The following is a 16,620-nucleotide window of genomic DNA, read 5'->3' on the forward strand; positions in this document are numbered from 1 at the left end:
AGTATTTGACAGCACATAGGGGGACTACAGTCAATAATAATTTAATTTTACACTTTAAAATAACTAAAAGAGTATAAGTAGATTGTTCGTAACACAAAGGATAAATGCTTGAGGCTTTGGATACCCAATTTCCATTATGTGATTATTATGCATTGCGTGTCTAATCTATGTGAAAAAAAGATTAGTAGCTGCCTGGGGTCTCAGGTACAAAGAGAGATGATTACAACAAGGAATGAGAAAATTTTGTGGGACAATGGAAATGTTTGTTCTTTTTCTTCACATAGATATTTTGGTACATGCAACATACCAAATACGTTGTATGCATTGGGTATACCAAAATATCTCATGTACTTCATAAATATATATACCTCATAAATATATATACCTACTATGTACCCACAAAAATTAAAAATAATTTTTTAATTAAAAAAGAGACAAAGAATATTATTATTGATAAAAGGGTTAATTCATCAAGAAGATAAAACAATTATAAACATATGCACCAAACAACAGAATAAAGAACTTCTCAAAACTGAACAATAAAACAAACCCAATAAAAAATAATGGGCAAAGATCTGAACAGACACTTCACTAAAGGTATACACTGATGACAAACACACAAAAAGATAGCCAGCATTATCAGTCACTACGGAAGTGCAAACTGAAACCACAATGAGATTCCACCACATACCTATTAGAATGGCTAAAATTAGAAAGGCTGACTATATAACCTGTAGGCAAGGGGGCAGAAAAACTAGAACTCTCATACACCGCTGAGGGGAATGTAAAATGGTACAACTATATTTTGCAAAAAAATTTGGCAATGTCTTAAAAAGTTAAACATGCACCTGCTATACATTCCTGACACTCTTATTACCAAAGAAATAGAGAAAATAAAATAGAGAAAGAGAAAAGGTAATATATGTCTGATATGGTTTGGATCCGTGTCCCCACCCAAATTTCATGTTGGATTGTAATCCCCAATGTTGGAGGTGGGGTCTGGGGACTGGATCATGGGGGTGGATTTCTCATGAATGGTTTAGCGCCATCCCTTGGTACTGTCCTCACAATAGTGAGTTATCATGAGATCTGGTCATATAAAAGTGTGTGGGACCCCCCCAATCCCCACATTGCTCCTGCTTTTACCATATGACATGCCTTTTACTTCCACCATGATTGGAAGCATCCTGAGGCCCCCCCAAAAGCAGATGCTGCTATGCTTCCTGTAGAGCCTGCAGAACCATGAGCTAACTAAACCTCTTTTCTTATAAATTAGCCAGTCTCAACTATTTATAGCAATACAAGAATGGACTAATACAATGTCTATATGAAGACTTGTATATAGATGTTCAAATTAGCTTTATTATAATAGCAAAAAGCTAAAAACAACCAAAATATCCATCAACAGATGAATGTCCAAAAAACAAAGTGTGCTATATACACATAATGGACTACTCCTCAATAATAAAAAGGAAGAAATACTGACACACACAAAACATGAGCAAACTCAAAATAACTATGCTAAGTGAAAATAGTCTGGTAGGAGTACATACCACTATATGATTACATTTATATAGTTTTAGAAACTGCAAACTCATCTATAGTCACAGAAAGCAGATTAGTAGCTGTGTGGGGTCCCAGGTACAAAGAGAGATGATTACGACAAGGAACGAAAAAATGTTGTAGGACACTGGAAATGTTTGTTCTTTTTTTCCCACACAGATATAAAGCAGAAACAATACTTTTGGCATGGGTTAAATTATGAAAGAAGTCAGTTTGCATTGCTTCAAAAAATGTTCTCCCATCTTTTTAGTATTTTCTCTCTCATGACTCTTTACTACATTTCCCTTCCACTATCCTCACTCTCTTATCCTATACTTCCACTGCAAATGTACATAGAAAGAAAATGATGATTTCATCATGCCTGAAAATTATGTATTCAAGAGGCACATCCTACAGCTCAAAATCTCTGCTCTAGCCCAATACTCATCAACTGATGAAATCCCCTCATATAACAATCACTACATACAATCAGCCAAATTCAAGATGTAGAACATTTTATAGGACAAATTACTCTATTTCTCCAACAAATCAATGTCATAGGAAAAGAGGGGATGGGGATAAAAGGAGTGTTAGTATTAATAAATAAAAGAGACCAAAGAGACATAGCCACCAAATGTAATACATGATCCTTGTTTGGACCCTATTTGAACAAACCAAATGTAAAAAGACATCTCTAAGTCTAATTAAAAAAAAGATGGATACAGACCATGTATTACATAATATTTGGGCTTCTTAATCTAGTCATAATGACGGTGTAGTGCGCTATTTTTTTAAAGGTCCTTATCAGTTACAGATGCATACCAAAGCACTTATGAATGAACAGACATAGTTCTTTTAAAAACTTTAGTTCAAAAAAGTGGGTAGGGGATGGTAAATAAATTTATCTTGGCAAAATATTCAACGTTGGTATCTATTTCAAATTTTTCATAATAAATTAAAAGTAAGATTTTTGTTTGTTTTTTGAGATGGAGTCTCCCTCTGTCGCCAGGCTGGAGTGCAGTGGCGCGATCTCAGCTCACGGCAACCTCCGCCTCCCAGGTTCAAGCAATTCTCCTGCCTCAGCCTCCCGAGCAGCTGGGACTAAAGGCTCGTGCCACCACGCCTGGCTAATTTTTGTAGTTTTAGTAGAGACAGGGTTTCGCCATTTTGACCAGGATGATCTCAATCTCCTGATCTCATAATCTGCCCACCTTGGCCTCCCAAAGTGCTGGGATTACAGGCAAAAGTAAGATCTTAAGATGTTGTGGGTTTCATAATGAATGTTATGAGACAAAACTCCTAACAGCATGATATGCACCTTATTTATTTTCAGTGCAGGAACAGTGCCTGCCACATAGTAAATACTCAACAGACCTTTTACTAAGGGGTTGTTTTAGTCCTATATATGACTAATAAGCAATGATATAATTATTTGGGTACCTCCATCATCAACACAATGCTTAAGAACTTATAAATCGTCACTCCATTATACCACTTTATGAGGTATTATATTACTCCATTTACAGATAAGAAAACTGAGACTTTAAATTAGTTGTTCAAGGTCACATAAGCTCGGCAATGAAGGGCAAAGATCAAGCTGGGCAACTCTAGCGAAGATTTTTTTTTAAAGACTACTTGGCTTAAGGGCCAGTGGATGACATTGCCTCCCTCAGTGATACCCATTCCAAAGTAAACCATCTCAAAGTATCAGCACTAGTACAATTTACTTGAAACTTAGCCAGGCTTACCAACAAATTATCAGAATAGGAAAATAATGGAAAAGAAGAAAATACCATTTTATGTTATTCATGGCTCTCTTCCTCATATTCTAATTAAAACAGCCTTCTTTCGAGATTTGAGCAAACCAAAACAATAATCTGTAGAAAAAATAACTGTATACAGGTACCTAGGAAATAAACTAATATTACAATAACTCCCATTATTATAAGGTATACTAACTTGTTTCAGAGTTCAATTAAAAACTGAGCAGAAAAATAAAAGAAGACAAGGCAAAGACTAAAATAATTATTATTTTAATAGTCACATATTACAAGTTGTTCAGAATTTGTGATACTCATGGGGGAAGGAGGAAATCATGTAAACGTAAGATAGGTCACTACCTGTCAGCATGATATAAGAGAAGACAATTCCATACCATACTGAAGACATTAACCTCTGTCCTGTGTTTCCAAACTCTGGCTGTACTTTTGAGTCATTTCAGAGCTTTAAAAAATTCCTGATGTGTGTGCTTCACCCAAGACCGATTAAATTAACGGGATGAGACTCAGGCATAAGTATTTTTTAAAGCTCCTGAAATGATTCCAATTAACAGCCAAAGTTGAGAACCACTTCTCACCTATGTCAGCATATGTGTAGTATGTGTGTGAATTGCCATATAATTAATGTACCAAGAAAAAAAATTTTTTTTTTGAGACCGAGTCTCACTCTGTAGCCCAAACTGGAGTGCAGTGGTGCAATCTTGGCTCACTGCAACCTCTACCTCCCAGGTTCAAGCAATTCTCCTGCCTCAGCCTCCCGAGTAGGTGGGATTATAGTCACGCACCACCACACCCCGGCTAATTTTTGTATTTTTAGTAGAGAAGGGTTTCACCATGTTGGCCAGGCTGTTCTCAAACTCCTGACCTCAAGTGATCCTCCCGCCTCGGCCTCCTGAAGTTCTGGGATTACAGGCATGAGTCACCATGCCCAGCCCCAAGAAAATTAATGAGTTGAAACTAGGTTTAAATTTTTCTTACCAGAGATTATCATTAATTTCATTAAAATACATTTTATGTCTCACCTAAAGGCCACTGATAGACATACATGAATGAAAATGATTTTGCTTTTCACAAAAAGGATCCAGACTTAGCCAATTAGGATTAATATTAACTATATTATTATGTGAACTTATCAATATCATGTTTCACTCAACAACATGCCAATTATTCTAGTACTCTTTTTAAAAATAAGCAAGCTACAGGCTAAGGGGGGTGGTGTATCACCAAAGCACCTACAGCAACTGGCACAGGTTGGCAAAAGGGATCTCCAAATCTCCTTAAAACCAAGGGAATCCTGGGACTATTGAGAAATAAGAAGAGACCCACTGTCATCTACTTTCATCACAACCAACCTGTTTAGCCTTTAAAACCCCAGCAGTGAGACAAGGAGATAGATAAAAGGTCAGTTCATAAACCCTTCCAAAAATTACAATGGATTCCTAAAGAATCTTAATGAAAACCAAATCCTCCTAAGAGTCCTCCAGAAACTTCCCAGGTAGGCTGACCTTCCTTTACCATATATAGAGGATAGGGATGATGTCACTAACTGTTAAAGGCAGTCTAGCTCTTCACTCTTGGGAGAAGAAGGCAGAAGAAGCAAAACTGGAGAAATGGCCTTGAAGAGGTGAAACAGGTTGGGATCCAGGACACAATGGAGGAGCTGGGCAAGTCAGCTGAGGGTACCTACATAAAAGGCACACAACATTTAAGCAGGTTAAAGAGCTATGTGAGGATTGGGGAAAGAAAGGAATAGTAAAATGGTGGCAGAATCAATGGATCTGCAGTATGAAAGGACTGTGGAAGTCAAATTACTAGACGGAATGAACTAGAAAGTTAAGAGGCAAGTGTCACAGAAAGATGAAAGACTGAAATTAACATTATGCAGTTATTGGTAATGATAAGGTCAAGAATGTGATTATAGGCATGAGTGGCTGAAGGACAGTAGAGAACAAGATCACCGGAGATGTTAAAGAAACTAAAAGGTCAACATGCTGGAACAATCATCTATTTAAGTGTTGAAATCACCAAAAATTAAAATGGGGAATGCTAAAGAGAGTGAAAGTGAGCCATAAGAAATGTGATGGAATCACCCAGATGTAAATGACAATCATGAGGGAATGTGGGAAGTGTGTCTGCTAATATGAAACTCAAAACTGGGGGACTGTCTCAAGGAAGAATACCTGGAATTGGCAATGAGGAGCAAAGAGTATATACTACAGGGACCAAGAAATGTAAACGAGTAAAATACACACCCAAAAACAAGCTCAGTCTAGCACAAAACTAATGACCAACATATATTACTGTACTATAACACAGTAACGGCTACCACAGAGAACTATAGGTCCCACTGGAGGCCCAGTAGAGGAATCAGAGGTTTCACAAACGTGTGGAAGATGTAACATGGAGCTGAGTGCTCAACAATGAGTAAGGGCAAAAGCACCTTCAAGGCAGAAAGACACTACAACTTAGGCAAAGGCAGAGAGATGTGAAAAGAACATAAAGCGTTCTGAGAAATGCAAACAGTTCAACATGATTAAGGGCAGAATGAGTCAGAAAGAGAGTCAGGACATATAGCTGGAAAGGTAGACCAAGGCTACAACTATTTTTTCTGTTAAAGCAAGAACAAAAGATATGAACAAATTAAATTGTTGCCCCTAAATCCTTCATAAAAACCATTAATAGAAAACAAAATTGACAAATTGTAGTTTCCTCTTATTTTCCTTAGTTTGTAGGAGATGCCAGGATGCAAATAACCTAATAGCCAGTTGCTTTAAGAAGATTAATCAACCCTTAGAGAACAAATGCTGCCACATTATATACAAATTTTATGATCATTATGATAATCTCCAATAGCCAAGATATAAATGTGCCATAGAAAATTATGCACAACTAAGATATTGTAAGCAACTGAATAGAGCTCAAACATAAATGCATTAGTTGTAGATTTGTAACATGTATATATGCAAACATAAATGTATACAGCTATATATAAATAAAAATTGCTTTCCATTTAAAAAAACAATATAAGTGAATGCAGAGATAATAAGAACAGTGGTATATACAACTTTTATAAATGATTAATGTTAGAATTAAATATCACATTGGAAAAGATGTCTCACTAGGTAACTGTTGGTATATTTACTCTGTCTCCATTTCTACTTTAGCAGCTGTGATTTAATGGAAAGCACACCATATTTGGGAGCCAAAGAAAATATATTCAAGTACTGGCACTGGCACTTATGAACTATTAAGCAAGTCACTTAACTTTCCTGTGCCTGAGTTTAAATTACAAAATGGAAATCAAAAATCCATATATCATGTGGTTTTATTAAGATTTATATGAAGTACTATATCTAAAAGAGCTTTGTAAACCACAGTGAGCTACAAAATAGTTTAGTTACATACTTTGAAATATTATTAATGTAGAACTAAAAGCCTTCAAGCCATCTGCTGAACCCCCACTCCCCAAAATAAAGCACGATTAAAATCTGAGATGATAAATCTGTTAGTCTGATAAGTATGTCTCACCACCTCTCTTCATAACCTTACCTTTGAATGAGCAGGCCCTCTTTCATTCAGAAGTTTATACTGGGGTTGGACTCTATTGAAACGGGCTAACTCATTTACCAGACACATTGCAGTTTTCTCTTTTGGGTTTGCCATTTTATCTTGGAGAGAAGCTGTAAATAAAAAGGCTATAAAGTTTTTGTGAAGAATGACTTTACAAAATGGAAGAAAAACTAGTTTTGACTTTGAAGGTAGATTGTATATTTAAATTATTTTCATGAATTTTGTATTTTAAAAATTCAAATTACCTAATGTCTTCCATTACATGCAACAGAAATATGTATCACATTTTAAACAATAAATTAAGGTAAAATTTTTCCTAAGTACCTAAGTTGTTCTATGTATATAACAGCATGCTTAAAGATTTTAAAGTAAAATTATAATAATTTTTTATCTTAAAAACTTTCCTTTCCCCTCAAAAAATTTACTAGAAACACATACGTTTCCTGGTTCTTATTACTATGAAACTAAATTTTGTCTACCTTCTTGATCGTTTCATCTCAATTTTTTTCCTTCTCATTATGAGGCAGTGTGTTAGAAAAAGCTCTAGTCTTGGGAATCAGGTCCTAAGTTTAAGTACTAGCTCTTCCAACTACAATTTTTCGGTAACTCTAAACAAATTAACTCCCCTTTCTGTTTTTTTAAATAAATTTTCAAAGTTGTAAAAAGAATAATTTAACAAGTGCCCATGTACCTAACACCCAGTGCTTATTAACCATGTTCCATGTTTAACTCTTATTAAAAAAAAAATAAGTGGTATTCCATTCCTGTTAAGTTCCTTATTATCTTTTACAGAGTATTGATGTATGTGGTTCTAGACTCACATAAATGGTATTATAGCATTATAATAAACATTCTCACAGTTTACTTTCTTCACTCTTCATTGTGTTCTCAAGACTTTTACTTATATAAATCTAGCACATTAATTTTAACTACCATAGAATTTCTTTTACAATATTGCACCAGTTTTTTTATCCACTCCTCTACTGAGACACTGGGTTGTTTCCAATTCTTCACTCTTAAAGAGAGCATGCTGTCAAATAGCTCTCAAAATGACTGTACCAAATTACCTTCCCCTACCGTTTCTCCTCAAGCTCAAAAACATGGAATATAATCAAATATTTTAATTTCTGATAATTTGATATTTGACAAACAGTATCCCATTATTGTTCTTTGCATATTTTTCTCCACTACTATTTTATGTTTGTTTGGGTTTTTTCTTGTTCAGAGACAGTCTCACTATGTTGCCCAGGCTGGACTCTAACCCTGGGTTCAAGCTATTTTCCCTACTCAGCCTCCCAAGTAGCTGAATTACAGGCTTCTATCCTTTTTTTTTTTTTTTTGTATTATAGTTACCAACTTTTCCTTTTATGGTCTGTGCTTTTTACGTCTTGTTTAGGAAGTCCTCTCTAACTGTCAAGATCTCAATGATTTTACTTAAACTCACTAAGCCTTCTATTCTTTCTATAAAATGAGAGAAATAAATCTATCCCGCTTAAGTCCCAAAGTTGTTGTGAGATTAAGAGTTGTAAATGTATGATATGGTTTTCTAAACTATATCGCAAATACAAGGTACTATTATAGCTTCAGAATATTTTTCTAATACCACATTATTTTAACCTATATTTTTCCTTTCTCTCATTTATAGACACATTTAATTACTTTTTTCTTTCACTTCCCATAAAAAATGCCAAAATATATTTTAAAATCTAAGCATAAAACATGCAAGTGGATTACTTCCTGCTCATTTAAACTATAGTCACAATAAATACAGTTCAATTGTAGCCACAAGAATACTTAAAATGAATGAAAATGGCTGGCTTTAGGAACTTCATCTACAAACTTCCTAGGCCAAAGTTTAATATTAAAAATAATATTCTTTTACATTTCTAATACTCTTAACAGGCCCAATAATTTGTACAATGGCTTGATTGTGATAATTATGATTAAGAAACTATTTTATAAGAAAACTACGTAAGCACCTGGTAAGACCTAAGTAAAAAGAAGGAATCTAAGCAACCAATTGTAGGGCCAAGACAGCTGACAGTAGATTCTACAATTAAGCCATTGTAAGTGGCTTGCAAAAAAAAAAAAAAAAAAAAAAAAAACTAGTAATTATTACTTTTGGGAAAAGTACAAAAAAGACAAAAGTCAAGACAGTTTTGAGAAAACCTGCATTTTACCTATTCCATTGCATGTCACACAAATTTTATAAAACATCCTGTTCAATTTGGAAAGTCAGTCGTTATAAGAAAATACAAGGTAACCTGAGACGATAATCAGTTTTGGCCTTTGCATACCATTGCATGAATTCAAGTGCAACAGACAGCACAGCCAATTTAATATCAAAAAGCAAAAGCAGAATAATTGGTTAAAATGAGAAAATATTAAAGTCTGATAAAAATCAGCCAATTTTGCATAACACAAATAGCATTTATACCACCACTGTGTAATTTTCATAATTCAGTAATGCTGCATATTCATCTGTTACAATGCAAAACATATTAGAAGCATACAAACATAGTGTGAAAATTTTATACTATGAAAATTGCTAATAGCATAGGTTCTACACATATTAAACAGCGATTTAAATGGTTCATTTATAATGAACCCGTTTGGTATGAAAACCTAATCTAAATCCTCTAAAGGAAAATGTTAACAAATAACATGGTATAAAACTTATATTCCATTAATTCTGACTTCCTGCTTCATAAAAGTTAACATGAATCCAATAACACATTTTAATGGGTGACTGAAGTTTTAGTGTGAGAAGGGTCCAAGATCCCACTTTGATAAAGCTTCAAAATTAAAATCAAAATGTTTAAAGTTGATAACTTAGGAAATAATTAGTCATAGTTGTTTTATTTTAAAAAGGGATTAAAACAAATAGTTGTTCCTTTATTTAATGAGAAATCTTAATAGGATTCTTACTTGACAGAGAGCTCAGTAATACAGCAATAACTTTTAAATTACACCAAAATTTAGATAGAGCATCTATAAAAACAAACTGGTCTATAAAATCTGAGACACATAAAAAAGTTATATAAATCTTTTTTAGAGAAGTCAATAGTGCAAAAAAGTGAGAAATGCACATAATGTTACACAGGTATGCATTTTCAAAGACCTATAGATGTTATCACTGAAGATAGTTTGAAATAGTCTTCAAGTCCATTTGGTGGCTGGAATAGTAGAGACCTACTTAGAAGTAAATAAAATTAATAAAAATGGATTCACAATCTCAGACTCTGCCACTTTGAAAGAACAACTGCCACATGATGGTTAAGAGCCTGTTTTGGATATCTCTGTCACTTACTAATATCTGTGTGACCTTGAGAAAGTACTTAAATCTCACTTTCCCACAAAGTAAAATAGAGATAATAGTTGTTCTTATCTCACTAGATAATTGCATGGATTGAATGAGATAATACCAAACACTGTTAACAATGATTAAAAATTCATTATTATTCTGATTTAAACATTTGTTAAAACAATTACACTATCATCAAATATTAAAACAGTGACATAAAAAGTCATGAAAAAAGTTTATAAAACTAAGTAAAAATATTCTTAGCCAAAATATTCTGTTACGATAAATTGATTTTACTCATACAAATATACTTCTTGGCTGGGCATAGTGGCTCACATCTGTAATCCCAGTACATTGGGAGGCAGAGGCGGGAGGATCGCTTAAGGCCAGGGGTTTGAGAACAGCCTGGACAACATAGCGAGACCTCATCTCTACAAAAAAATAAAAATATTAGCCATATGTCATGGCACATGCCTGTACTCCTTGACACTCAGAAGGCTGAGATAGAAGGATTGCTTGAGCCCAGGAGTTCCAGACTGCAATCCAGCCTGGGTGACAGAGTGAGATCCTCTCTCAAAACAAAACAAAACAAAAAACAAGTATATTTCTGTAGTAGTCTGTGAAAAGCATGTATTTGTTATTATTTTTTCCACTGACTTATAAACCCATAAGTTCGTTTCCACTGAAAAATTCTCAAATATGATATAAATTATATTAAAGGTTTACATGTGCTAGGAAATATTCTACCTTCACTGATACGAAACTTGGTTAGATATAACTTACAACTTTGATAAGAAACACTGGTAAAATACATATTTATAATAACAGTATTTGCATATCCAACAAAAACATAAATATACTCTATTTTTAGATTCACTCTATTTTTATGTCTTCACAAAATGTCCTGGACTCTGGAATTTGAATCTTCATTTTGCCTGTTCATTTGTATGTGTAGGAACCAGTGAAGAAACACAGCAACTGTGTTCAAGTCACTGAACAAGCTACAAAATAATGTAGCTCACAGGCAAAATGATCTGTCCCCAAAGGAGTTCACAGTCTGATAGAAGAAACAGACACAGACAATAGACAAACACAATAAATCACAATATAAGTACTATAATAAGGCTGTTACAAAAACTCCTTAGACAAAGGGTGTATGGAAAGGCAAGTTTTAAGAGGTGGTGATTAGATAAGGAAAGCAAAAATTCACTTAGGTAACAAGGGAACGTGAGAGACAGTCCAAGCTTTTCAAGGAGTATAGACACAGGAGAAAGCACATAAAACAACATAACTTTCTGGCAAATGCAAGCAGAAAACTGGCAGAATACAGAACGCATGAGAAAAAACAGCAGAATAAAACTATGTGACCAGAATTCACTAGAACACCAAAAGTTTCCTAAACCAGAACTTAAAGTAGCATTTTTTAAAGTAGCTATATTCCAGCCAGAACTGTTGCTACTAAGGTCACAGACTACCTCGCTTCGCAAGGCAAATCATTCCAAAGAATCCTTTCCATCCTTGGTCCCAGAAATGACTTAAACACGGTTTCTTTCCTTTTTTTTTTGAGACAGAGTTTCACTCTTGTTGCCCAGGCTGTAGTGCAAGGGCGCGATCTCGGCTCACTGCAACCTCCACCTCCTGGATTCAGGTGATTCTCCTGCCTCAGCCTCCCGAGTAGCTGGAATTACAGGCATGCACCACCACGCCCAGCTAATTTTGTTTTTTTAGTAGAGACGGGGTTTCTCCATATTGGTCACGCTGGTCTCGAACTCCCGACCTCAGGTGATCCGCCCACCTCAGCCTCCCGAAGTGGTGGGATTACAGGCGTGAGCCACCACGCCCGGCCTTAAACACAGTTTCTATGTCTCTTTACTGGTTCCCCTTTCTCTATTCTCTGCTATTGGAGGGAACTCATCCTAATTCCCAAGTAAAATAAGAAAGAAAAAAGTCAAAAGAGCAAAGGACCCTTTCATGGGCTCTTGCCTTCTAGGAGCAATCTGACAGATATGTCCCCAGCTATTAACTAAAACAAACCCTCTATTTTCAAATTAGACCCTAACATAAGGCTGTCCAAGCAAAATTATCGACAAACTACCCAGGCATCAAACTGCTCCATTTTTAACAGTCTGTCCATTAGGAAAAAATTTAAGTTCCTCTCTCACATAAACACAAAGATAAATTTCAGAAATATTAAAATGCAAAATACAAAAATTTCACAAAAACTAACGGAAATTAGCTAAATATCTGTCATACTCCTGTAACACAGAAGGCCTTCCTAGATATGAAAAGGAACCTAGAAGCCATAAAGGCAAAAACTGATAGTTAACAACATAAAAATAATAAAACTTCTCTAAAGCAAAACATACCACATATGACACTAAAGTCTAAGCCATTTTGAGTTACTTTTTGTATACAGAAGAAATACTTGCAATATGTGAAGAAAGGCCAGGCGTGGTGGCTCACGTCTGGAATCCCAGCACTTTGGGAGGTCAAGGCGGGCAGATCACCTGAGGTCAGGAGTTCCAGACCAGCCTGGCCAACATGGTGAAACCCCGTCTCTACAAAAATATACAAATTAGCCAGGCATGATGGCGGGTGCCTGTAATCCCAGCTACTCAGGAGGCTGAGGCGAGAGAATCACTTGAACCCGGGAGGTGGTGGTTGCAAGTGGAACCAAGATCGCACCACTGCACTCCACCCTAAGCAACAGAGCGAGACTCCGTCTCAAAAAAAAAAAAAAAAGTGAAGACAAACTGTTAACATTCATAAAATAAAAAGATACTATAAATCAATTTTTTTAAAGCCAATAGGAAAAAAGGGCAAAGTTACACACAATTCACATAATTTCTTGAGTAAATATACCTGTTCAAAAGAATGTTAAAGAGCCTGGCCAACATGGTGAAAGCCTGGCCAACATGGTGAAACCCTGTCTCTATTAAAAATACAAAAATCAGCCAGGCATGGTGGCACATGCCTGTAGTCCGAGCTATTCGGGAGGCTGAGGCACCAGAATCGCTTGAACCTGGGAGGTGGAAGTTGCAGTGAACCGAGATGGCACCACTACACTCTAGCCTGGGCAACAGAGTGAGACTGTCAAAAAAAAAAAAAAAGAAAGAAAGAAAGAAAAATTCAAATTCCAGTGATATATAATTTTCCCCTATTAGACTGATAAAGATTTTTTTTAATAATCATTTAAGTATTAACAAGTATGTGGGGAAAATGGGTGAGAATTCTGTTGGTGCAAATACAAATTAGTACAAAATTTCTGATGGGCAACATTGATTAAAGTTTCAATTGTACCTATCTTTAAAACAGCAATTATTAATCTGAGGATTCATACTACAGGAAGACATTTGCAATGATAATCTGGAAAACAAGACTATAATAGCAAAAACTATAAATGAGATAAATATTATTATTTACCAAAAATTGGTTAAACTACATGAATCATGCAGCTTTGAAAAGAGAAAGAGGTACAGAGCTTATGAATCAACATGGGAAAACTTTGCAAACTGGTGAATGACAAAAGTTACAGCAGCTTACTGTGTGATCGTATATTTATCTTCTTTTTTTTTTGAGACGGAGTCTCACTCTGTCACCCAGGCTACAGTGCAGTGGCGCAATCTCGGCTCACTGCAAGCTCCGCCTCCCAAGCTCAAGCGATTCTTCTGCCTCAGCCTCCTGAGTAGCTGGGATTACAGGCATGCGCCACCATGCCCAGCTAATTTTTTTTTCTTTTTTTTTTTTTTGAGACAAGAGTCTCGCTCTGTCACCCAGGCTGGAGTGCAGTGGTGTGATCTTGGCTCACTGCAAGCTCCGCCTCCCGGGTTCACGCCATTCTCCTGCCTCAGCCTCCCAAGTAGCTGGGACTACAGGCGCCCGCCACCACGCCCAGCTAATTTTTTGTATTTTTAGTAGAGACGGGGTTTCTCCATGTTGGACAGGCCAGTCTCGAACTCCTGACCCCAGGTGATCCACCCGCCTCGGCCTCCCAAAGTGCTGGGATTACAGGCGTGAGCCACTGCGCCCGGCCAGAGTAAGTTCTTTCTAGTCTTGACAGTGCCACCATGGTCCTGAAAAACAGAAAAATAATGCTCAAGGATCTGATTTAAAGCAGGCCATGTTGTGCCTCCATCTCCAACTTTTCCAGTGAAGCTATCTAGAGATTTAAACAGGACAAAAACACAGTGTGTCCTTACCAGTATTTAGTTTGGTCAGTCTTCTTAACTTCAGTCATTCTAAATATGTGTATAATGATACCTCGTGATTTTAATTTGCATCTCCCTAATGAATACTGTTAATTAACTTTTTTCATTTGCTTATATGTCATCTGTATCTCCTGTGGTGAAGTGTCTGAATATTTTACTTTTGATTTTTTTTTCTTATTGCTGAATTTGAAGAGTTCTTTACACATCCTACATACAAGTTACTGATTAGACATATGCTTGGTAAAGATTTTCTTCTAGGCCAGGCGCGGTGGCTCACGCCTGTAATCCCAGTACTTTGGGAGGCCAAGGCAGGTGGATCGTTTTAGGTCAGGAGTTCAAAACCAGTCTGGGCAACATGGTACCCCGCCTCTATTAAAAATACAAAAAGTAGCTGGGCACGGTAGTGTGCGCCTGTGATCCCACCTACTCAGGAGGCTGAGGCACAAGAATCACTTGAGCCCAAGAGGTGAGGGGCTGCAGTGAGCCAAGAAGGTACCACTGCACTCCAGCCTGGGGAACAGAGCAAGACTCTGTCTCCAAAAAAAATAAATAAAGTAGTAGGAAAAAGATGAATTGCTAACAAAGTTGGAGCAAATGGACAGTCATCTTAGAAAATAATAAAGAGGAATCACTACGAAAAAAATAAAAATTTTTTTCCCAAACTGTGGCTTTTCTCTTTATTCTCTTACCAGTGTCTTTTAAAGAGCAGATTTTAATAGTCTAATTTATCAATTTTTATAGTTTGTACTTTTAATGTATATCTAAAAAATTATTACCTAACTGAGGTCTAAAAATTTTTTTCTCCTGTTTTCTTCCACGAACATTATAGTTTTAGGTTTTACATTTAAGTCCAGAAGCCATTTTGAGTTAGTTTTCCTATACAGCGCAAGGTATGAATCCATTTTTTGTATATCAATATCCAATTGTTTCCAACTGTGGAAAAGGCTACATTTCTCCCACTACATTGCCTTTATGTCTTTGTCAAAATTATTAGTTATCTACATATAAGGAGTTTATTTCTGGACTACCAATTCTGTTTCCACTGATCTATTTGTCTTTTGTTGTTGTTGTTGTTGTTGTTGTTGTTGTTGTTGTTGTTTTGAGACGGAGTCTCGCTCTGTCGCCCAGGCTGGAGTGCAGTGGCGCGATCTCAGCTCACTGCAACCTCCACCTCCTGGGTTCAAGCGATTCTGCCGCCTATTTACCTATTTTTACGCCAAACTATTTTACAGCTTTTAATTCTTGAAATCAGGTAGTGTTGGCTCCCACACTGTTCTTTTTCACAGTTGTTTAAAGTTCTTTAAATTTCCACATGAATTTTAGAATCACCCTGTGCAGTTCTATAAAAAAGCCTGCAAAGATTGAAATATAAGTCTCTTAAATCTATAATTTGGTGAAAATCAACATTTTAACAAAGTTGAGTATTCCAACCCATGAAAAGGATACACAGTCACTTCTCATTATTGAGATAATAATATGTCAATGACTGTTATGTGAATCAGCAATTATAGAGCCATTGCTCCCAGGGGAACTAACGTATTAGGTTCTTGCAAGCTTCTGCTGACATTTTTGTGAACTGATCATATGTCATGTTTTATGTGTTTCTGTTTAGAGACTTCTTGTTTAGTATGTATTACTAATATATGTTACTGATTCATTAACATTGAACTCATGTCCAATAGTACTGTTTAACTCCTGCCTGAATAAAGCTTATCTAATGCACATATATTCTCCGTAAGGCATATCAGAGCCTCCTGGTACTTAGAAACACTATATGGCACTTAAACATTACACTTTAAACATTTTAAACATCAAAATAACCATCTTTGTAAACATCAAAATAACCAACAAAAAGCACAAACATGCAAAAAATGCAGCACTAAATAAACCAAGAAAGGGCTACTTGCTTACAGTATGAAACCCAAAATAAGAAAGCAGAGCATTGTCTTGTTTGATCCCAGCTGGGTATATACATGTGCACTGGGTGATTCAAAATGTTTTGCCCCTGCAAGTGTCTGAGAATGACCACAAAAGCACTGCAAGTATTGGTTTTGGGGTTACAAATAAAAATTAGTGAGTAAGCCAATTCCTAGGTAAAGAATCCATGAATAATGAGAATCAACTGTATCTTATTCAGGTATCCTTTAATTTCTTGCAGCAGTATTTTGTAGTTCTCATTTTCTTTAACATATTTTGTTAGACTTATCTCTAAGTAGTT

The 16,620-nt window shown here is 35.9% G+C and overlaps 1 protein-coding gene across 7 annotated transcripts in view; it reads right to left on the minus strand.

Annotated features, from left to right (window-relative positions):
- Positions 1-16,620, minus strand: part of STAU2 (staufen double-stranded RNA binding protein 2) — a 327,112-nt gene that overhangs the window by 281,794 nt on the left and 28,698 nt on the right. The window contains exon 4 of one of the 7 annotated variants that reach the window (NM_001164380.2): positions 6,870-7,000. The exons of the other annotated variants lie outside the window; for them this stretch is intronic. Within the exon in view, the coding sequence (NP_001157852.1) occupies positions 6,870-6,983 (114 nt within the window). The 5' untranslated portion in view covers positions 6,984-7,000. The remainder of the gene's footprint in view (positions 1-6,869; positions 7,001-16,620) is intronic. 7 annotated transcript variants of the gene reach the window in all.

This window comes from Homo sapiens, chromosome 8, assembly GCF_000001405.40.
Source record: "Homo sapiens chromosome 8, GRCh38.p14 Primary Assembly".
Taxonomy (NCBI): domain Eukaryota; kingdom Metazoa; phylum Chordata; class Mammalia; order Primates; family Hominidae; genus Homo; species Homo sapiens.